Genomic DNA, 23,359 nt, shown 5'->3' on the forward strand with positions numbered 1-23,359 from the left:
CTGTCTTAACCTTGTGGATCATGCAATGGACTGCCTGCTATGGGAAGTTGAGGGATCTTTTGCCTTAGTGTAAGACAAGTCTTCAAGCTCAGAATTCGTATATTTTGTGTAAGAGACGTTGCTTTTAGTTAAATGTTTTGCTTAAAGTATTCTTGTCATTGCTTGTCATCTATGCCTGATGCCTGAATTTCCCTCTTGTGTTGGTTCATTGGATGTAAGGCATCATCATGACTGCTGTTAATCATAGGGGGAAGGAATATGGTTCAGGGCTTTATGAAGGAAGGGAAACAGTGGCATAGCACAGGATAATTAATAGCAAGTGGAGTGACAGTTTGATTCCCTGGTAGGGACCCTGGCATTGTTGAAGGAAAAAAAAATCACTTTATTCTTTCATAGAGAGAGGCAGCTGTAATTCTGGTTGGATGGAATCCAATTAAAAGGAACTGACATGCAAATTGATGATGAGACAGTGTGAGCATAGAAGTAGTCCAAGAAGAGTTTTGTAAGAAATGGCAGAGAAGAGTGTAAGTAATTTGGCATGGTAATGTGTGTAAGAAAATGGAAAGCTGATGGGTTGGCTACCTGAACAATTATGTCTGGAATCTCAGCCAGCAGAGAACAGGAGACTGGTTGGTTTGGTAGAGTTGTTAACAAAACTTTCTGGTGTTTTGAGTTTTGGTCTACATTTTAGGAATTATAGCCTTTCATAATAGAATGAATATAAATCAACCCTTGAGGGTTATAGGCTTTCAAATTGGTGGTGGTTAAATATAATATTCTCAAGATTCTATGATGGGAGTCCCAGCCTGGCTCTTGGAAAGAAGATCTCATTGTACAGGTGTACTTCACCTGACCTAATGATGTGTTCTCAAAGATTTGTGTGAGAATTGGCTCCTAAATTTAGGATGAAATAGGAGAGCTTGCCATTTCTAGTAATGCTATTATGAATCATTTTCTAATGTAAAAAATCCTTTTATAACCACAGTCATGCCCAATTTATCTTTTAAGTAAATTCATAAGTCCACATATTAGATTTGTTTAAACCAAAGGTATTTTTCTTTGAAATGAAATAATTGTAGGGGCACATAACAGTTAAGCTTTAGAGTAACAGAGGAAAAATTGGGTAAGATTTTATAAGTCAGTATATTGCTTTTTAGGGAGGAAATTCTGCCTAAGAAGTCAGACAGCTTCTGCTGTTATTACGGGAAAAGGAGAAGGCTGCCCAACGTATTTCAGGGAGATTTACTAGGATCTCTTGGGAACTGCAGTAGAAATCACTACGAAATATTTTGAGGATAGAGGAAACAGGACAACAGCGTTTACTAGGTTTTATTCTGAAGAAAGCCAAAGAAGGTGGAATGGAGTTCATCTTGAGAAAGCGGTAGAAGATTGAGAAGCTAAGAAAAGACTTACACAGCAGCAAAAAGAAGAAGAGACTGGAGTAGTGGGCAGAGTTTTCAGTTAGCAAGAGAGCACCATCCAATTGTTATGCTGGTCAGCAGCAAGGAACATTAATGAAGGAGATGAAGAATGACCAGGGTCAGTTTTTGTTCATCCAGGTTTGAGCAGGGTGTTGCTTATGATGCTCCATGCAGTTTTGCCTCCCACAATCTCTCTCTGATCTTTGCCTCCTGATCTGCTCAAGTACTGCAGCAGCAATGCATTCTCTACTGAAGGCTGTCACGTTTACTTTTCACTGTGCCTAGAATGCTCTTACCCTCAAGCCTCCCTCCTTCACTTGATTCAGGTTGCTGCTAGAAGCTCCCTTATCAGAGAGACCTTTAGTGACCATTCTGTCTGAAGGAGGCAGACACTCTTCCCTTATTCCGCTTTTCTTCATAGCACTCATTATCACCTCACACATGGTTGTTTAATGTTTCCCCAATTTTCTCTGCTAGAAGTAAGTTCTTTGAGAGTTCAGCTTCAGTTTCTTTTGCCCATCAGTGTATTCCCAGTACCTAATTTATATAAAAATTTGTGGAATGGATTTTTAGGGTATCTCTTGCCTATCACAGTGAGAAGAGCTGAGAATGAAGAATACAGGACTCAGTCCTTGTCCTGTGTTATGCAATGTATTACATAGTTATAGTAAGTATAACAGCCTGAGCACAGAGTGCTGTGAGCTTTGAGAAATAAGCTAGAGATGGTCATCACAGAACTGGATCTTGAATGATAAAGAGGAGTTTTGTTCTGTGGTGGAGACAAGGAATGATCTTCTAGGCTATCAAAGCAGGGTGAGTGAAGTTGGAGAGATGTAGAAATGAGTTTTGTGTTTGGATGTCATTGAGTGATTTTGATTTGGCTGCTAGAGCACAGGTACATGGGAAAGCATGACAAAGGGGCCTGAGAGGTAGGGTTGGGGAGGACATGTGAAACATATGTTGAGATCTGATTGGTAAAGTTATTGATAGGCGTTTGGACCTTGTCTTTTGGGAAGCAGGGAAGTAGCAATATCCAAAAGAGAGTGCTTAAGGATGGATTGGAAGAGGGAAGATTATAGAGGGGATAGAGAGCAAAGCAGGATGTGACTTTCCCAGCCTTGAAATGCATGAGAAAGTTTGGGATCCTCACAATGAAGGGCAAAAAAAAAAAAAATAAAAAGCAATTCTGTTTATGGATGTATAGCAATATATTGTGTATAGGTGGTGGCTATTAGAAGACTAGTAGTTCTTGGAACTGTTCCTTTTTTTCTCACAATAGTAGTTAAGCTGTGTCATTGGGATACAAAGGGAAGGAGAAGGCTATTTCCATTCTTAGAATAGAAAAATTGGAAAATGCCTTGGCAAATGGAGGTATTCTTATTCTACATTTTTTTTTTTTTTTTGAGACCAAGTCTCGCTTTGTCACCCAGGCTGGAGTGTAGTGGAGCCATGTGAGCTCACTGCAACCTCCGCCTTCTGGGCTCAAACGCTACCACACCCAGCTAATTTTTTTATTTTTGTTTTTTAAGAGCTGGAAATTTGCTATGTTGCCCAGGCTGGTCTTGAACTCCTGGGCTCGAGTGATCCGCCTGCCTTGTCCCCGCAAAGTGCTGGGATTACAGGTGTGCACCACTGTGCCTGGCCATACCTTACAGGTTAAGCAGCTATGTGGCCTTGTGCATTTCATTTAACTGTGTTTCATTTGTCCTTTCATGGAGATAGACTTTGTTGATATCCTTTCATCGTTGATGTGCAGAACAAAGTATGCTGCTTGGGAAATTATAAACATACTTTCATTTGAAATATTGGGTAATATCAGGAGTCCTTTGCTTTAATAGAAGTAGATCTGGAATTGCTTTTTTTTTTTTCTTGGAATATGGTAACACCAAAGCATCTGAGCTACTCACACCCATTTCCAGAGGAAAACATGATCATTTCCAGGAGATGGCCTGCAGTTTTAAAGCTTTTTGCTGCTTGTTTTCTACATGTCAAAACACATCCCATTTCAGCAGTTGGTGAGCGCTACCATAGAACTGTTCAGAAGCAAGAGGGAGGATTGAGTCATGTTGTACGTGCAGCTGCATATTAACCTGCAGGTCATAGCAGTCCCTGATCCAAAGGACTGTCTGACACTTTATCCCCGTTCTTACTGCCTTCATCATTCACAGCAGCCAGTGTAGGACTCTCCCACTTTAGCCTTGATCATTTGGAGTAGCAGAATCGTGGTCTTGTGTATATATAGAGTGTTATATAGGCCATGTGATTCTCGGAGACCTTTTTAGGAAGTTTGAGCAACCTTACATATTGGAATTCTTTCCTCTTTTTGAGAAGGAGGAAAGAAATGTATGTTTTATAAGGATTGCTTTGAAATAGATCCATTTTGCAGGGTTTAACTCAAGCAAAGAACAGACTAGCTTAATGGTTAATATTAAGTTACTGGAGTTTGAATGCCTAGGTCCCAATTCAAGCTTCACCATTATTAGCTATATGACCATTAGCCAGTTTTCTCATTTGTTAGATGATGATAATTACAGGAAGATACTGTATCTTCCCACAGAGTGGTCCAGAGGAATGAATGAGTAAATACATGTAAATCACTTAGACTAAGGACTGGTATTATGGATTCTCTGACTGTTAGCTGTTTTATTCCTGATTTTCTCATAGCCACTGGCATTTCTAAGACCTTGCAAGAACCACTGGTCAACTTTTCTGCCTGCTATGTTTAACTAGTAGAAGTCAGAAAGTGACTTGGTGGCAGAGTGCTAGAAATGATTCATTGGGTGGACTATTGAGCTTCACACCCCAGTCCACTGGCATCATGTAAGAAACAACTCATTACACTCTAACGGTAGTTTAGTGAAATGGATGAGTAGTCTTAGTCTGCCTCCTCAGGCTGCAACAGAAAGTCAAGCCAAGCAGCCAGGAATGTCTGGGAATCACCTGGAGAGAGGACAGACATCTGCAGCACAGTGGAAGGTGATAGATGAGTGGGACCCAGGAATAAACTACAGAAGCAGTGTGGATTGTGTTGATTCTAGCAAGCAGGAGGGGGTCTCCATGGTATTTCTGAGTATAAGCCAAGGAAATGTGTTAATGTGGGGGGAAAAAAATCACCGAACTGGGAGAGAGTCAGACTACCTCGGGTGTGACCTTTGCCCTGTCACCAACATATTGTATGTCACATCCCCATGGGGCGAGTCACATTTTCTTTCTAACTCTGTTTCTTTGTCTGTAAAATGATTAAATGATTTCTTGACTCTTTCTTTTCTAGATTCTTTTTAACGATTTCATTAGCTTTTAATAACTATGTGAGGAAAGGAGAGCAACCTGCTATAGACCTTGGCCTGTGTGAGTCTTTAATTTTGTTTTTTGTTATTTCAAAGAAGTTCTTGTTCAAAAGACCATGAGACATTTCATCATTGGACTTTTTAGGGAGTTGTCTCTTTAATCTCTCATATTTCCTTTTTTCCCTACAAATGATATCCACAGTACTGCTGTTGTCTTGTGCTCTCTGGATCAGCACTTTTCCAGAGAAATGAAAACACTGCACTTTTAACGGCACAGAAAGCAAAATTACTGTAGCATCAGGATTCAAGGTTACAGAATTGGTTAACTTTCTGGTTTGTTTTGCTGAGCTGAATGAAAAAGATTTGATCGAATGTTACTGCTTAGGGATAAATATTAATAACCACAAACTCTCTTAGTGATCATTGTCCCCCCTTTTGCAGAAAATTTCAAATTATGGTCTAGGACTTAGATTGTGATTGTCAGCTGAATATGGGCGTGAAAAATGTGGAATAACCAGATAAAGGACCCTTAATTGGTTGTAGAGGAACAACTTTTTGGGGATCCATGTCCAGAGAGGGAATTGGTTCTGGATTATTGATTTGTATCATTACTTTGATTAAGTGTCTAGCAGTTGCTGTAGACCTTTATAACATTATATAATAGAAATGGTATTAGAAAAAAGTCATCAAAGGTAGGATTTTTTTAAAGATATAAGAACCGAAGTTTTTAATCTTCAGTCCTTCATAGAGAAGAATTTATTAGGTTTGAGAGTTCTCAGTACCAAGTAAATTCTAACTGCAGACTTAAAACATATGAATACACTCACATATAGTCACCCCATCCTCTGGCCTGGTTTTGTTCTCTATTATAGTTGACTTTGCTTTAGGGGAAAGGAGGGAGAGTATTGGTATTAATTTATTTGAAAAATTAGCAGGAGTATATCAAACACTTACTGTATGCCAGGACTTACCATGATAAATAAGAGGTGGACCCCTGTCCTTATGGAGCCCACTTGAATCAAAAAGTAAACATATGAGCATGCAAATAGATGGCTGTAAGAATGTGATGGGCATGCCATTTTTTCTAGCAGGTTGCCTACCACATAGTCTATATGTGTTAGAGATACACATTAGGTACACAGAAGAGGGTCCATTTGTGGCATAGAGAGAGATTAGAGGAATCTTCATGAAGGAAGTGACATGATGATGATGTTTTGAATGACAGGAAGGAGTATGCAAAAAAAGGCAGGGTTGACATTCCAGACAGAAAGACTAGTATGGACCAAGACATGTGGACATGGAAATGGTTTGCTCCTTTTGGGGTCCTGAAGGTAATAAGTGCAATGAGGCTGGAGAACTGGGTTTGTCTTAAGGGGCTATGGGAAATGAGGGTCAGAGTGTAGGCTCTTATGAAGGCTGTCTGGTCAGACTTGAGGGGAAGGTATGCTGGTAAATTGCACTGAGAATAGTTCCTAGCTGTCCCATATTTCAGCATCTCCTGAAATAGATGTGTACTGTGATGTACAAGTTCCAGGATACAATCAGTTCATGAGTATCCAGTTAATGTACCTGCAGGATTTGGGCAGCAATATATGTAGGGTGTTGTGTGAAAATATTGGATATGAACAATTACAATCTTGGCTTGCACAAGAAATCATTGTGATGCAGGAGGGAAGGGTAGAAAAGTTAGATTATTTTTTTTCCCCTCTAATGCAGTGCCTCTCAACTTTGTTACAAATTAGAATTACCTGGGGATCTTTTTTTTAGGATATTGTTTACATGCAGTGAAATGCACAGATCTTAAGTGTACACATCAATGAATTTTGGCAAATATACATACCCATGTAGCACACTTACCCATCAAGTTATAGACCATAGTCAGAACCTGAAAAAGTTTTTTAGTTTCCGGTTTGAATCAATTCCTGCCCACCCCTCCCATATGTAACCACTGTTCTGATTCGTGTTAACATAGTTTAGTTTTGCCTGTTCTTGAATTTCATGTGAATGGAATTATACAAGTATGTGCTCTATTGTGTTTGCCTTCTTCTGTTAACATAATGTTTTTGAGATTGTTCTATATTGTTACATGTCAGTTTTTTTTAATTGCTGAATAGTACCCTGTTGTACAGATATACCACAATTTGTTTAATCATTTTCCTGTTGGTAGACATTTAAATTGTTTCAGATTTTTGGCTATTATGAATAAAGCTGTAATGATCAGTCTTGTACAAGTTTTTTTTTTTTTTGGCAGACATAGGTCATGATTTTTTTTTAACGTAAGTGCCTAATTGTGGAATTTTGTTATAGGTATGTCAGTGTATGTTTAACTTTATAAGAAACTGCCAAACAGTTTTCCAAAGTGGTTGTACCATTTTACATTCCCTCCTGCATTGTATGAGAGTTCTTGTTGTTCCATACTGTCAAACATTTGGTATGATAAGTCTTTTTAATTCTAGCCATTCTAATGGGCATAATATGGTATTTCAGTATGGTTTTAATTTACATTTCTCTGATGATTTATGATGTTGAGCACTGTTTTCTTTTGTGAAGTGTGTGGTCAAGTTTTTTTTGACCATTTTCAATTTGGTTATCTTTATGTTATTGATTTATAGGGCTCTTTATATACTTTGGATACAAGTCCCTTGCCAGATATACATAATGTGAGTACTTCTTTCAGTCTGTTACTTGCCTTTTTAGTTCCTAATGACATCTTTGGATAAGCAGAATTTTTTAATTTTGATGAAGTATAGTTTATCTTATTTTTCCATTATATATTTTGTGTCTTTTGTATCCTCACTAAGAAATCTTTTCTTACCCTAGGTTATAGAAATATTCATCTTTGTTTTCTTCTAGAAGCTTTATTTATCTTTTGGTGTATGTTCCATCACAAATTTTTGAGTGTGATATGAGGTAAGGGTAGAGGTTCATTTTCTCCATATGTTTATCTAGTCGTTCCAGCACTATTTGTTGAAAGACCTTACTTTCTCCATTGAATGTCCCTGGCACCTCCGTTGAAAATCAGTTGCTTGAGGGCCAGGTGCAGTAGCTCACACCTGTAATCCCAGCACTTTGGGGGGATGAGGCGGGTGGATCACGAGGTCAGGAGTTCAAGACCAGCCTGGCCAATATGGTGAAACCCCGTCTCTACTAAAAATACAAAAAGTAGCCAGGTATGGTGGTGGGCACCTGTAATCCCAGCTACATGGGAGGCCGAGGCAGGAGAATAGCTTGAACCTGGGAGGCGGAGGTTGCAGTGAGCTGAGATCGCGCCACTGCACTCCAGCCTGGGAGACAGAGTGAGACTCCACCTCAAAAATAAAAATAAAAAAAATAAAAAATCAGTTGCTTGTTTATGTCTATTTCTGTTTAGGTCTATTTCTGGACTCTGTGTTCTGCTTCACTGATTTATTTGTCTGTCATCCCAGTATCACACTGTCTTGTTTATCTAGCTTTATAGTAAGTCTTGAAATGCAGTAGTGTGAATCCTCCCACTTTGTTTTCTTTTCAAGGTTGTTTTTACTATTGTAGGCCCTTTTCTTTTTTATATAAGGTTTAGAATCAAATTGTCCAGTTCTTAAAAAGAAAGGTAGCTAGGGTACTTTACCTTACAAAATCCCTTGATACCCAGACCATACTTCATCCCAGTTAAATCAGAATCATTTAGAAATGAACAGAATCTCGTTCATTCCCTAGATTCTTCTGAGTGCAGCCAAAATTGAGAACCTATGTACTAATGGGATTTTAGTGTGGTACACTAAAGAAGATACTGTCATGGATTGCTGGGATGGAAGCCATTCCAGTGGAATGTATGCATAGGAGCTGATGTGGGCCCCTACACGAAAGAAATTGTTGATGTTTATGGAACCAGGAGAGCTGAATGAGGAAGAGAAGGAGCAGGAGTGAGAAGCCCTGTGGTCAAGGTAGTAGAGTTCCCTCTCCCTGGGGCACATGGAGCCCCATTGCTGAGGCGCTGCCTTGTGTGGCTCCTATTCCTGATTATTCAGGGTATTCCCACCCTAAACCTGCTGCAGTGCAGCCAACAAACCACCAACTTGAAATCTAGGGAATACTCTTAGTAGAGCGTGTAAATGTACTATTTTAAAGAATAGCTTTCCCCTGGATTAGGGAAATGCTTGTGAAATCTGCATAGTGATGAACAGGGTAGGCACATTCTAGAAGTGCCTGTGTGGGTTTTTTGCTTTTTGAGTTTTTTCTGTCTTTTTAATGTAATGTCTTTAGACAAACATTGAGTCATCCATTCTTCCCAAGGGTAGGTAGTTCAGTCAGAAGTGATGTTTTCCCAAAAGGCTTTAAAGAAAAACGGGACAAAAAGTTACGCTCAAGTAATATGTTCTTTGGGAGCACTCAAAGTATGCAGGCTGGTAGGTTGCTTGCTTGTGGCTTTTTTTTTTTTTTTTTTAATTTAAACACACATTTTCCTCTTTGAAAAGAGAGGTTGGAACTAGTCAGCTGAGTCCCTCTTTCTGAAATACACGTTCCCTAAACAGCTGTAGAGAATTAATTTCAGTCAAAGATAGCAGAGCTTTAATCTCAGCTTTCTGCTCAGTGTTATGGAAAATCCTTTCTAGAAAATAGCCAGTGTCTACCTGCTATGGGATGTTAAAAAATTCAAACGAACATTGGATTTTTTAGTGTTTTCCTAGTAGAAACAGCATGGAAAATCCTTTAGTGAGCTAGATTTTACAGTGCACACAGAAAGCAAGTATCTATGATACATTTATAATTTTGTGTGTGTCACATGTTGGTTGTACTATTTTCTTATTCCTAATAGAATTGAAATATACCATGTCCAATTCCAAACCTTATTTTTTTTGTGTGTGAAGGGTTGAAGCATTTTAGACAAGAAAGAGCTTTGATACTAGCAACTTTAAACTCATTTATAGGATATATATACATATATAATACATACATATGTATGCTCTTTCAAGGCAGAGGAAGAAGGTAGGCAGAGTATGAGAGGAGAGTTGCTTTTCTTTCTCAACTTATGATTGTATTTAACACATACTCGCATGCACACACACATTCTTTTAATAGCATTTTTTTTTTGTAGTGAGAGAAAACTTATCTTTAAGAAGTCTCTAATCTATTATGGGATTAAGAGTTTTAAATGTCCCCCAACACCCCCCCCCCCATTTTTATACTTTTATTTCTACGATTTATATGTCACGTGAACATCACTTTTTGGTGGTGTGATTATATCGGAATACTTTTGTATTTTGCTTAACATTAAAAAAGCCATTTCTTACATTGCTATATCATGATAGTAATTTAATGGCAGCATAATAGTACCTCAAATTGTGCCATACTTTATATTCTTCTGTTGTAAGTTTTCTATTTTGTGCTGTTAAACCTCAAAGAACTTATTTGTGCATAGAATCCCTCTTAATTTCTTCAGTACATCCTCTGTGTAGAATAGTCACAAGGTGCATTTTGTTTTTTCCTTATCTGTGTACAGTTTACACTGTATATGATCCTCAGTGATATAGGGTGTATTTACCTTAAGAATGATCATTATTTACATTTCTAGGGATAAAAAGCTACTGGATTTCTTTCATAACTGTATTATTTAAAAAGTTGTTCTTCCCCTTTATTTTTGTGCACAAATTTGAGCCACATTTATGTTTGTCTTTTAATGGGTTATGGGTTCAAATTTTTTTCTTAACTGGTATGTTTTTTTTTGTTGTTGTTGTTTTAATTTTTTTTTTTTTTTTTTTTTTTTTAGAAACTAGGTCTTCCTAAGTAAGTTGTCTGGTTTGGTCTCGAACTCCTAGGCTCAAAGTGATACTCCCACCTCAGCCGCCTGTGTAGCTGGGAGTCCAGGTGTGTGCCACTGCACTTGGCAATATGTAACTCTTTGTGATATTTGTCATGAGTATTTTTTCCAAGTTTTTTCTTTTTTTATTTTAGTGCCATTGTGCCTGGCAATATGTAACCCTTTGTAATATTTGTCGTACCTTTTCCAAGTTTGTTCTTTTTTATTTTAGTTTTTCATTACAAAGCAGTTTATGAAGTTTTTTATATTTTCTTCTGTTGCCTTAAGATGAACAAACTTGTCATCCCTTCTGAGATCTAACATCAATTCTGTCCCCACCTGCCCCCCAATATTTCCTGTGGTTTAATTAAAAGCAATTTTTAAAATCCATCTGAGTTTCTGTCGATACATATGCCCTCTCCTTACCTGCTGTGCTATGAGGAAAGGTGGGCTAAATCAGGAGCTCGTGTTATTCATATCTTGGGAGAGGAATAGAAACAGCCAGTACTCCAATCTCAGCTTCCTGTAATGTCTACAAGTCAGTGTTTGCTCATCTATAAAGCTGGGATGAGAATAACAAATGTACAGAGAATTTTTTTAATGCACTTAAGCCTTCTCTTAAGCACTGTTAAGAACTTCAGTTGAAAGTGTTTAAAATACCAAATAGCTGTAACCTTTGATTGTTAATATGTGTGCACCATCATTTCTTGGATTTTTCTCAATAGCTAGAGACCACATGGGATCTTTGGTGTTTTCCAAAATGAACCACCATGCTATTACCTGCAGACATTAAGGGTCTGATTATACAAAGAAACTGAGAGTTGAGGATGTCCATCAGAAATACACTGTTTCAAAGTCAGATCTGAGTACTTGGTGAAGACTTTGGGGACTACTTAATAGTAATGATTACTAGAAAAATAAACACTGGCAATATAGATAGTGGTTAAAAAACATGGGCTTTGGGCTGGGCATAGTTGCTCATGCCTGTAATCCTGGCACTTTGGGAGGCCAAGGTGGGAGGATCACTTGAACCCGTTTGAGACCAGCCTGGGCAACATGCCGAAACCCTGTCTGTATAAAAAATACAAAAATTAGCCAGGTGTGGTGGTATGCACCTTAAGTTCTAGCTATCTGGGGAACTGAGGTAGAAGGATCGCTTGAGCCTGGGAGGTCGAGGCTGCAGTGAGCCATGATCATGACACTGCACTCTAGCCTGGAAGACATAGCCCAACCCTGTCTCAAAAACAAAACAAAACAAATAAACAAAAAACGTGGGCTTTGACAGAGAGACTTGTTTAACTTAATTAAACAAGTGCCACTTAAGTGATTTGGGGTGAGTAATTTTAGCTCTCTAAACTCAGTTTCCTCCACTGTAAAATGGGGATAATATTGATGAGTGGTTTAATTAAGAAAATGTATGTGAAATATTGAGCATGGTGCCTGACCCATAGCAAATGCTAAGTAAGTAGTAGCTGTTATTACTTTTATTAACAAGTAACATTTGTATAACATTTATGACCTACAGAGCCCTTTCACATGCTGTTTCTTATTTGTGAACTGAGTGTTTTATACAGAATGGGTTTTTAAATGTTCCATAGGCTTTTTATTCATGGCTTCAAGAGGTTGTTCCCTTTTTGGGACCTGTACAGCTTGTGTATACTCAGTTGGCATTTGTCACGTATCTTCATGCCAGTGTCTTTGTATCTGAATTCTAAAACTGCGTGAACACAAAGGTTATGTCTTTTGTCTTATTCATCTGGGTTGTCACTGGAACAGAGTCAGGAGACATTCCTATTTATTATGTGCGTAATCGTAGGCAAGTCAATCTCTGGCTTGCCAAAGCTGTCCTTTCCTCATCTGTAAAATGGGTAACAAGTTTCTTGTGAAGATTACGTTAAATAATGCATTAGGAAGCACTTTGTATAGAAAATTACAAATAGTTTTTTGTTTTTTGTTTTTTTTTTCCGCCATGCCTCACTAGCCTAGTATCACAGTAGATGCTGTAAGGTTGGAGGTTGTTAGGAAGGCTATAGAGCCAAGTCTTAACTTTAGTGTCACAATACCTTTGTTAAACAATGAAATTCAGTCTTTGGGGGCTAGTTGTCATGCTGGGTGCTGTGCCAGGCTAATTAATACTTTGGTACCTTGCCTTTAAAGTACTTACTGCTGCTGTCTCCCTCCCTCCCCTTTGGTATTCATTATTTATAGTATAAAACATTTGCTGCTTGCTGTTGTAAAGGTGGGGGATGGGGTGTAGTTACACATAGGTGCTCAGAGCAGGTTCAATGATTTAACCCTACATGAGGAAGTAAACTTAATCTACATAAAATATGGATTTGGGGGTGTGTGATCTCTGTGGTCAGTCTGGAGGAGTGTGCGTGAGGTGTGTCAGCCACTAAGCAAACAATGGAGTGCTGGCTCTGTGGACTCTTGGCTGAGTCAGCATTGTTTCCCATGGAATTTCTTTTTCTCTTAGCCCACAGGTGTATTTATGTGTCCTGGTATTTCTTCGTTTTTATTTTCCCCCAATTTGATTTCATAAATGATAGTGCAAAGTGTTGGCTATGGTTAATTTCAGTAAATAAGGCCCAAATATGAGGTATCTGTTTCTCTCTTGAGTAAAAAATAAAGTCATGTTATGGGGAATAAAAGCAAAAGCATTTAATAAAAAAATCCCTTTGTTCATTTTAGAAAATGGTACCTTTGTTAATTCCTTAAGAGACAATTTATTATATTCTGACACTATCTTTGAATAGTCAAAGAAGGCATGATGTCTCAATTTAAATTTCTTCTTCCTGGCACAGCTTTTATTCTGCAAGGTTTGTGCTTTTAGGAAGAGGGTATTGTTTCTCATAGGAGAGTAGAGTGCCTAGTGGACAGAAAAAGGTAAAGATTGTCATTTCCTTGAACATAGATTGGTGTTTAATTTCTACTTAAGGGTGTCTTTTGAGAAGAACAGAGCCCACTCTGTTTAGCAGCTTGCTTTTTGCTAATCATGTGGTGCATGGTGTGTTTTCATCTAGTCCGTTCCATTAAGTCTTATTTATGCTTTGGGGATATGGATAATTGGCTACGGCTCAGGTGAGGTGCATAGGTGATGTGTCATTTCTCTCCTGAGGGGATAGAGATGACAGGCTTCTTTTAGATAATCACTGTCAGTGGCTGGGACCCAGGAACCTTTGGTATTCACCTGTTTAGTCAGTGGGGGGCAAATTTGATGCAAGAGCAGAGAGGGAACTGTTTTTAAACTATGTATATAGTCACTATGTGATTAACTCTTTGGTGGCCCTTTAAGTACAGGATAAATTTGCATTAGAACTTAGTGTCTCAGAGTCTTCGATTACATGAAGTCTGAAAAAGTGATGACCAATTGTCAATATTTTGGACATATTCCATGAGTGCCCCCTCAGACCATTGGTAGAGATAGGTTTGCAGGTGGTGACCCTGGTGAAATCCTCCTCTGAGAAGGGAGTGTTCAAGGGCATACGTTGGCATCATTTAAGTAGCAGAAGAGAGCACCCCATTGAGATGGTTTAAAAATGAGATGCTAACTTTCAAAGTTTTTTAAATTTTATTTTTTACAATGCCTGTGATGCTACTACATTGTATAAACAGTATGTAGTGTTAAGGATGTGCCTCGCATGTAAGCCACCACTAGCATCCTTAGTGTGGGGGTACTGTTCCTTTTCTACCCAAATCCCTGCAAGATGTTCTGAGATTTTGGTGCCAAGGAGTCTCCCAACATTCAACATTGTTAAAACACACTTCCTTATCTTCTTTGAGGTTTTTTAATAGCAAATCCCAAGCCACTCACCTTTTTCTCATAGTATTAATGTTCTAAGAGTGGCTATACATTATGTTAAAGTCAGCGTAGTTCTCCACGGGAAGGCTGTTTTTTAAATGAGACTTATTCAACCTCTTTTTAGCTGGTGTTTCATTACCACCGAGGATTTATAATGCAATAGCTCTGAGGCAAAGCTGGTAAGAATGCCAGCTTCGCTAATATTTAGAGTCATAAAATTCTGGATATTGGACAAGCTCTTAATTACTCTGAATCCGTCTTTGTCTTAATAAAAGTTGGATTGTACCCACTAAAACAAGATGGCTGTGTTTGCATTAATCTCCAAATGTAGGTTAATACCTTTTTAAAAGCTGTCTCCTAGACAAGAGACTTGAAAATTAATTTCCCATTTTCAGCTTAAAACGAAGAGCTCTTCCACGTGTGGAGATTGAAGGGCTGCCATTTTTCTGATGCTGTAGATTCAAGTGCCAATAATAACTCTTTGTTCCTCTTTAGTTTTTTTTTTTTTTTTTAATGTCTTAGGTAAAGAAGTCTTTCTTTTCTGGTGCTTGGGGACTTGTATTTTTTAAAAATCTGCTTCAAAGTAAATAGATGAAATTTCATTTTCTCAGTGGAGTTTGGATCACTGGGATTGAGGGGGATGAGGAAGGGCTAGATAGATAGTATGAAACCTATTGGATTCATACTATGGCTGCAGAAGTCTGGGCTTTACACATTAGGTTGCTACCAAGCTGGATATTTTGAAATATATATATGTATATGCCTGTAATGTTTTAGCATTTGCTTGTTGGGTTTTTTTTTTCCCCATAATGGTAGGTTCTTAACTGACTTTTTCAAATGCAAGGTAAAACTTTCTTTTCCTTTTCTTGTCTCCAGAGTACTGATGTGTAACCACTTAGTACCACTAATGCCAGGATTCATTTCTGTGCTACAGATGGTCAGTGAGATTATAAAAGCTCTGAAAAGGTTTTTATATAATTTGAGGTCTTCTCAGTTGAGAGTTTGTGTCTGACATATTAATTCCTTCCCATCCACCCCCTGCCCCATTCTCAATGTAAACCATATGGGACATGTATTAAAAAACAAATTTCAGACATTTTCTGGAGATTTTAATTCAGTAGTTCTGGAATAGGTTGCAGGAATCTGACTCTTAACGATCAAGCACATTTGATATTCAGACAACTCTATTGCATCCTCCAGAAGCTCCAGGATTCTGTATATAATTTGTAGGATATACTTGCCTCTTCTATGTCAAGTCTCTTACCCAGTCTGATTATGTGAGATGTCTTAAACAGAGCGTTTTTTCATAAACCTTTATGTAGGATAATACTACTCCTAAAACACTTTATTACATAGTTTTTGGATTGGTAATGGCAAAAGAATGAGAAAGCACCTGAGGAGGCACCATTGTGAGTGATGAAACTGGGGTATCAGACCTGGTTATGAAAGGAGATGATAACCCTTGTACTGTTTTCAGACAGTTGCAGAGTTATCCTATGAAGGAGGAACCATAATTCTGGTGGCCCTGCAGAGCAGACCGGGGACTGATGAATGGATGCTGTGGGGGCTGAACATAAAGAGAACAGGTTTAACAGAAGGGACCAACATCCTTTGAGAGATACTACTTTTTACCTTCTAATTATTTAACCCATGAAACTATTATTTTCTCCCAAAGACACCTGTTTTTAGACTATCAGTTAATAAAAAGAATGGGGCTACTTAGGTGGAAGCTGGCTGAGGGGCACAAACAGATTAAGCCCCTTTTCTCCCCAGAGCTAGCAAGCAGTACCCTTAGCCAGAAGCCTTGGGCTCCATAGAAGTGGCCACAAACACAACTAGAGTATGGTGAGTTCTGTTCAGTGGAGGTGGCCGCACAGCCCCCTGACAAGGAGTCTTGTGAGCTCCGTAAGGGCTGGCCCTTATCTGATTTGCTGCTGTAGACAGCCAGTGCAGGGGACTAGCACAGAGGGCAGAGCTTAGTGAAATGTCTGTCAATGAAAGCTGTGGAGGACATTTGTATCTCACATTCAGTGCTGAATGAGATTTAAAAGTCCTTTCTAACATAAAAAGTCTGTGATCTCTGCTTCCAAGATTAATTCTTAGGTCTCAGTATGGATGGCCCAAGGATATAAGCTTTGTGTCTGCAGGGACTTTGTTTCCTATAGTGCTGGATTTCCAGTACGTAGACTAGCACCTGACATTAGTGGGCACTCAGTGAATATTTGTTGAATACATGCATTTGTTGAAAAAAGTGAAAATTGTTTAAAGTGGTACTTTGTGAACCTTTTTTTCTCTTTTTTCTGTCATCCTGGAGACTTCTCATTTAACCCCCAGTCTGTCTCGTGATCCATGCCCCATCCTTCCTTCATGCCTCACACCACCTCCTTCTCAATCTATACTTGGCAAAGAGGAATAAAGACGCTAAGGATATTGTGGTAAACCAAAGTCATCTCAGAAACACAGTGAAATTCCCTAGGCATCTGAATTGGGAAACCTATTGGCTGATTTGCTTTGACTTGGGTATTTCCTGTGATTTTCAGCCGGGATGTGCTCCTGTGCTCAGAAGTGAGGATCTGTTGTAGGTTTATGGCCTAGATTAATTGGGATATTTTGTGAAGTCTCTGAAGTGTTATCACTTCATCTTTATCCTTGCCTGCTATTCCTCATGAAAAGCATTTGAATTATTTTAGAGAAGATATAAATTTGCTTGTGTTATCCAGTGTCAGCTTAAAGCTGATTAGCATTTTGCATCACCTTTGCAACTCATAAATCATCCACTTACCCTCTCAGTAAGCAGGCTGTAAGTCAGCATGGAAGCACCTGCTGCAGCTTCTTGTCCTGTGATTTAGAGGACACTCCAGATTCTCTGCAGACCCTTCTGTGGTGTTATTCTCTGGTAAGGCTTCACCTATATGGGAAATGAGTAAAGACTTTTGGTGACTTTTTTTTCCCTAGGGAGTTCTTAAGGGTTACCCTGGACGAGAGACTTCTCAGAAATATAGTCTTTAATAAACCTGGTCCAGGCACAGGTTTGGTTCATTTGGCATATTTGTTGTTTTAAAAATTTTGGAGGTACTTTTCAACATTTAAAGTCCAGGACATTTCACATTTAAAAAAATCCAGATTTAGGGTTATTCCGGGAAAATCAGAACACCTGGCAGTGTCAGGCCATGCTGCATGCCTGGCTTCATTTGTTATTGAGAGCAGGAGTGCTCTAGGAAAGGGGTACAGATTTTCCATTTTGCTGTAGACTCTACCCCTCTCAGTTTTTCCATGGGAGTCAACTTTACTCAAAGTCCTGCACTGTAGATGCTTGAATTGGTGACATCCTTCTATGTTGTGCGAGTGTATAGATTGTTTTTTTTGTTTCTTTTTTGAGTAATATCAACCATTTAACTCAATTGAATAATAACAAGAGGCTAACATTTATCAAATGCTATTAATGTACCAAGTACTGTGCTAAGTGCTTGTAATATGTTTGTTTATATATTCTTTACAATTATCCTAATTGTATAGATGAGGAAGAAATTGAGGCAAAGAGAGGTTAGATAACTTGCTCAAGGCCACCTAGCTAGTAAAAGTCGGGCAGAGTCACTGTGGTGTCCTCAGAAGCAAGTCCCTGCTTGGGCTAGCATTTTTGCCTAGTCCGGGTTATCTCCAGAACCTGGTCTGCTCCTCATTCCCATATCCCATTAGGAACAGTGGGCATCAGTTGCAAAAGTAGATGACAGTAACACACTCCCTAAGTCCCCAGTCTGCTCCTGGGAGGAGCAGCCTGCCTTGTTCATGGCAGTCATAGCCACAGGGGGATGTTTGAAAGACAGCCCCTTATACAGTGTCTATTGATTTTCTTCACCCTCTTGTTTTGCTCATCCATCCTGTTGTTCTAGGATGCTTATTTGTCATGCATAAAAGCCTTGTTACAGTGAACCCAAACAAGTCATTGACATTTAAAATTAAATTGCAACAGGTATTGTCAATAGCTAAACTGCTCATTGACAGTGCATTGCTAATTGCATTGAGAGAACATCCTAACTGGGTATATTCTGCCAAATCAAATCGGAAACATTGGCTGTCTACCAGCAAATTCATTTTGACTTGCACAGAGTTTGGGGATCCACAGATCCCTCACCAATCTCAAAATACTGTGTTTATGGAAACGCTAATTATTATTTTTTTTTTTGCTGAGGTTCTTTGCAGAGAAGGGGAATTCTGATCATCTTCACTGACTGCTAAGCCAGGAGTCAGAAACTGTGCCTTTGGAAGGGAGAGAACTACAGATTTGGGGTGGAGTAAAGTTCAATGCAAGGGGGTCATTTGGGGAGGTGGGCCATCAGGTTCTTTATCTGTAAATCTAAGCCATATCCTTGGATCCATTTTTTTTTTCCTTCTCTCCTTTTTCATCCCCTTCTCTCTCTTCTATAGGTACATGGGAGGGGGACAAGGGTGGAGACACTTAATTTTTATTAAGCACTGTTCGTGGTATTTTATGTGAATTAATTTGTTTACTTCCCACAATGACCCTGGGGAGCAGATATGCTATCAGGTAAAAAAACTAAGGCACAGAGAGGGTAAAACTCTTCGAAAGAGTCTTGTGGTTAGTCAGCTTCTGTGAGAGTGAGAGTGGGCTGCCCTGAGGCCATCTGTTCCCTCTCCCCAGCTGATATTTTTGTGCTCTCAGGGTAAACATTTAAGCCTGTGAGTTAAACTCAGCCTTGGACTAGCTGAGTTCCTCTGGAGGCCTTGCAAGTAGCAGTTTGGTTGGCAGGGCAATTAAGTATGCTAGGTGCACTGTGCTGAACCCCAGGAGGGAGGGAAGGAATGGAATCTAGTCTTTGCTTGCGTTATACATGCTTATTGGTTTGTGGCAGGCGTGATTGATGCCAGAATCAAAATGACTTAAAGCAGCTTCCCTTGAGAAGCACTACTCTAACGGTTTTTTTTCCTCTTTGTTGCCCTAGGTCCCTTGTGAATAGGATTTAGCTCTGATTCAGCTGCTGCTGTTCTTTTGGTAATCAGTGTGGAGGAAGGAGATGAGGGCTGCTATTAATGGCTTCTTATTTTGCATTCTCCTAATCAGATATCCTGCAGTTATTAGTGTGAATGCAAGATGTTCGGTGGTGTCCCTGGGTGGTTTTCTTAGGTGTACTGGACTGTTAGCTTTCTAAGATGGAATGTTTTATTAGGTTCTGGCCTAGGGGGTTGGTTAGATGGGTGGAGGTTGTTAAAAAGCACTAAAGAAAAGGAATAGGATATAAAACCAATCTTCAGGGGGTGGGAATAACAACCCACCACCTTCACTTCCCTCCCCTCCTGCCCTGAAAACCTTATCTTGCTAATACCCTTCAGATATTAAAAGTGAAATAACAGAGCTATTTACTAGGCAGCTAAATGCAAATTCTCTCCCCCATTAGTTTTAATTAGGATGAAATCATACATTTAAATAACCACTTCTATTACTAATAACTGAACTTCTGATTCACTCTGAACCCAGGCAAATGCCTCTTCTGGTATGAATGGCCCACCTCTGAGTCATTCCGCACCTGCATATTGACACAGCCAGGCTCCTGATGTGGGTACACACATCTGGGATTTAAGGGCATGACTGGCATGTTGAATCTTGGGTATAAAGCTTTCTGCACTATACCCTGGGGACAAACAGGATAGCTCAACTGGAGAATAAAGAGCTTGCAAGCTCAAAAGAAAACAACAACCAAAAATACCTCAACCAAATTCTGCTCTTGCTTCTATCCTACTGTTTCTTTAGGTGTTTAAAGGGCTGTAGTTTTAAAAATCTCCCACCCACCTCATCTTTTTAAGTAAATGTCACAACAGTACTATGTCAATACAGTTGAAAATAAGTATTTGAGTTGAAAGAATTGGCTCTTTGAGGCTTTAACTATCAGATTTGTGCTAATTCTTTACTGTTTCCTTGACATAGTATATGCAGTCTGTGCTAAGAGAGTATGGATGTTGTCGTCGGTGTATAGAATGGTGGCTGTTGTAAACTTCTGTATGTTGGGGAAGGATTGAACCTGCTGTCTGGAGAATTAGAAACCAGCAGCTTGACTTAAATCCCTCAGTGTCACAACCAGCTAATGAAGGAGAGGACTGCTAAACTCCCAGTGGTCTTTGTGGCTACGAGGACTTACTCAAGTTTGAGACTATCTTTAGTGGGCCAATGACGTAGGAACACAATCAGCAGAGGACATGTAGTTTACAGCAGCCTGTAATGTGCCAGAGACATGACTAGCTGCCTCTTTGGCCCTGGGGAAGTGTGTCTGGCCCTGCTTGCATCCTCTGTGAGTGGGAATTGTGCCAGACACCAGCTAGACATGACCAGCTGCTTCTTCGATGTTCTGTGGACATGATTGGCTGTAGCTTTTGATCAGGACAGTGTTCCTAATGAAGTGTGACCAGCGTCATTTAGACAGGAAAGAATGACAGCTGATGTGCAAGAATTTTTCTTGATTGGCAGCATTTGGAACTAGTAACCAGAGAAGGTAGGTGGGGGGAGGAGAAGCCAGCTCTGATTGACAAGAGCTTATCTTTATTTAATCTACTTCTGAGGCACTGAAGTTGAAATCTTAGGCAAGTGAAAGAAAGGAAGACACAATTGTGAAACATAATTAAAGATTCTTGACAAAAACATACTTAAATCAGAAATGTCTTTTTTTTTTCTTTTTTGAGATGGAGGTTTGCTCTTGTTGCCCAGGCTGGAGTGCAATGGTGTGATCTTGGCTCACTGCAACCTCCACCTCCCGGGTTCAAGGAATTCTCCTGCCTCAGCCTCCCAAGGAGCTGGGATTACAGGCGCCTGCCACCATGCCTGGCTAATTTTTTTGTATTTTTAATAGAGACGGACTTTCACCATGTTAGGCTGGTCTCAAACCCCTGACCTTAGGTAATCTGCCCGCCTCGGCCTCCCAAGGTGCTGGGATTATAGGCATGAGCCACTGCGCCCGGCCAGAAATGTCTTTCAATAGGAGAGCAATGCAGAGTTTAGGTGTGAGGTTATCACTGCTCCTTCGGCTATGAGAAAGAGCTTTTGCCCAGGGATTGTTAATTTTTAGGCAAAATTTAAAGTGGCGATGGGCTTGGATAGTTCTAGCAATAAAAAAAGTTCTGCTTCTAGTTACCATCTTGTTGACTTTCCAACCTACTTGGAAAGATTTCCTTTGGAGAGGCCAAAAACAAGTGCTGTGTATGGAGTGTGGCCTGTGGTGGTAATTTCTCATCAACTCTTGATCCACTGAGGATTTAAATCTTAAGTCTTCATGTGCTTTGAGAAAAGATGACAAGCGGAAATAGTATGTTTGTTTCCTAAGGACACACATGTGATTTCTGAGAGCTGATTGTATGCAATGTGGTGGTATTCTTTTGCAAATAGGCTTGGGAACTTGGCATCCTGGATTCGAATCTGGGCACCACCATTTTCCAGCTCATTCCTTCTTATTCAACTCCACCCCACCTCGAACCCCGATTTGGTTTTAAAGATTCACATACTATTGTTTTAGTAATTACCCTTGAAATAAAGTCACATATACTTTTAAGTCTAAAGTTAATCCAGGACAGGTGCGGTGGCTCACACCCATAATCCCAGTACTTTGGGAGGCCAAGTTGGGCGGATTGCTTGAGCCCAGGAGTTCGAGACCAGCCTGGGCAATGTGGCGAAACCCTGCCTCTACTAAAAATAAAAAAATTAGCTGGGTGTGGTGGCATGCACCTGTATTCCTAGCTACTTGGGAGGCTGAGGCAGGAGGATGGATTGAGCCTGGAAGGCAGAGGTTGCAGTGAGCCATGATGGCACCACTGTACTCCAGCCTGAGCAGCAGAGCAAAACCCTGTCTTAAAAAAAAAAAAAAATCCATAGCCTAACCACCTTGGATAATACAAGTGACTACCCTATATCTGATCATACTGCCACCCCAACCTAAATCCAGTATTTGTTTTGCCTTTTTTTTTTTTGAGACAGGGCCTCCCTCTGTCACTCAGGTTGAAGTTCAGTGGTGCGATATTGGCTCACTGCAGCCTCAACTTCACAGGCTTAAGTGATCCTCCCCACTTAGCCTCCTAAGTATTAGGCATGAAGCACCACGCTTGGCTAATTTAAAAAATTTCTATTTTTGTAGAGACAGGGTCTCCCTATGTTGCCCAGGCTGGTGTTGAATTCCTGGGCTAAAGTGATCCTTTCCACCTCAGCCTCTGAAAGTGCTGGGATTATAGGCATAAGCCACTGGTGCCCAGCCTATTTTACCTTTTTTTTTTTTTTTTTTTGAGGGGGGAGGGCAGATGGTCTTTTAGATTTACCTATGTATTTGACAATTTGTTTGTTCATATTTCTTTCTTGTGTCTCAGACCTTCCTTCAGGTTTGACTTTTCTTTAGAATTTCCTTGAGCGAGTGCCTATTGGTAGTAAATGCTCTTTTTTGTTTATCATAGATGTCTTTCTTTTGCCCTTCATCTCAAAAGGTAGTTAGCTGGATACACAGTTCTAGGGGGAAAGATTTTCTTCTCTTTGAGTCTTGTAGGTTTGTTGTGAAGATTACCTGGGTTCATATCTAAAGCCCTTAGCACTATGCTTGGCATGTTTGCTCTGTAAATAACAGTGGCTGTTACATTCTCAGAAAAATACTGGAACAGTTGGAGGCAATGCAGGCTTGGTTGGGATGTCCATACTTTGACTAACTTTTTACATTATTTTCTTAAAACTTTGATTTCATTGAGATTGGGGTGGGAGTACATTTAAGCATCAAAACTAACTTTGAAGATAGATTTGATTGAACTGTGAGTTCTATCACTCGCTAGTTGTATATACCTTTGGTAGATTATCTTACCTGTCCTAAGAATCAGTTTCTTCATCTATACAGTGATCATTGTAATACTTCCTATTTCTCTGAGTTGCTGGGAAGGTTGCATGAGAACACATTTAAAGCTCTTCTCCAAGCCTCACATAGTAGGTGGCTAGTTGTGGTAATTATTTGTTGCCTGTAAACCACTTTTATGACTTTTATGTAGAGATGTTACCAACTTGTCTTTTTTATTGTTGTTGTTCTAGCTATTCTGTTTTTATTTG

General features: G+C 39.5%; 1 protein-coding gene across 17 annotated transcripts in view, besides 1 other annotated feature; it reads left to right on the forward strand.

Annotated features, from left to right (window-relative positions):
* AUTS2 (activator of transcription and developmental regulator AUTS2) overlaps positions 1-23,359 on the forward strand; it is a 1,195,032-nt gene that overhangs the window by 121,096 nt on the left and 1,050,577 nt on the right. The gene's annotated exons all lie outside the window — the stretch shown is intronic.
* Positions 12,693-12,987: a silencer, noted in NCBI's record as "tiled region #8911; K562 Repressive non-DNase unmatched - State 24:Quies". NCBI's record gives its function as "represses a minimal TATA promoter and a strong SV40 promoter by Sharpr-MPRA in K562 cells {active_cell/tissue: K562}" and the evidence as "EXISTENCE:reporter gene assay evidence [ECO:0000049][PMID:27701403]".

Source organism: Homo sapiens, chromosome 7 (genome assembly GCF_000001405.40).
Source record: "Homo sapiens chromosome 7, GRCh38.p14 Primary Assembly".
Classification (NCBI taxonomy): Eukaryota; Metazoa; Chordata; class Mammalia; order Primates; family Hominidae; genus Homo; species Homo sapiens.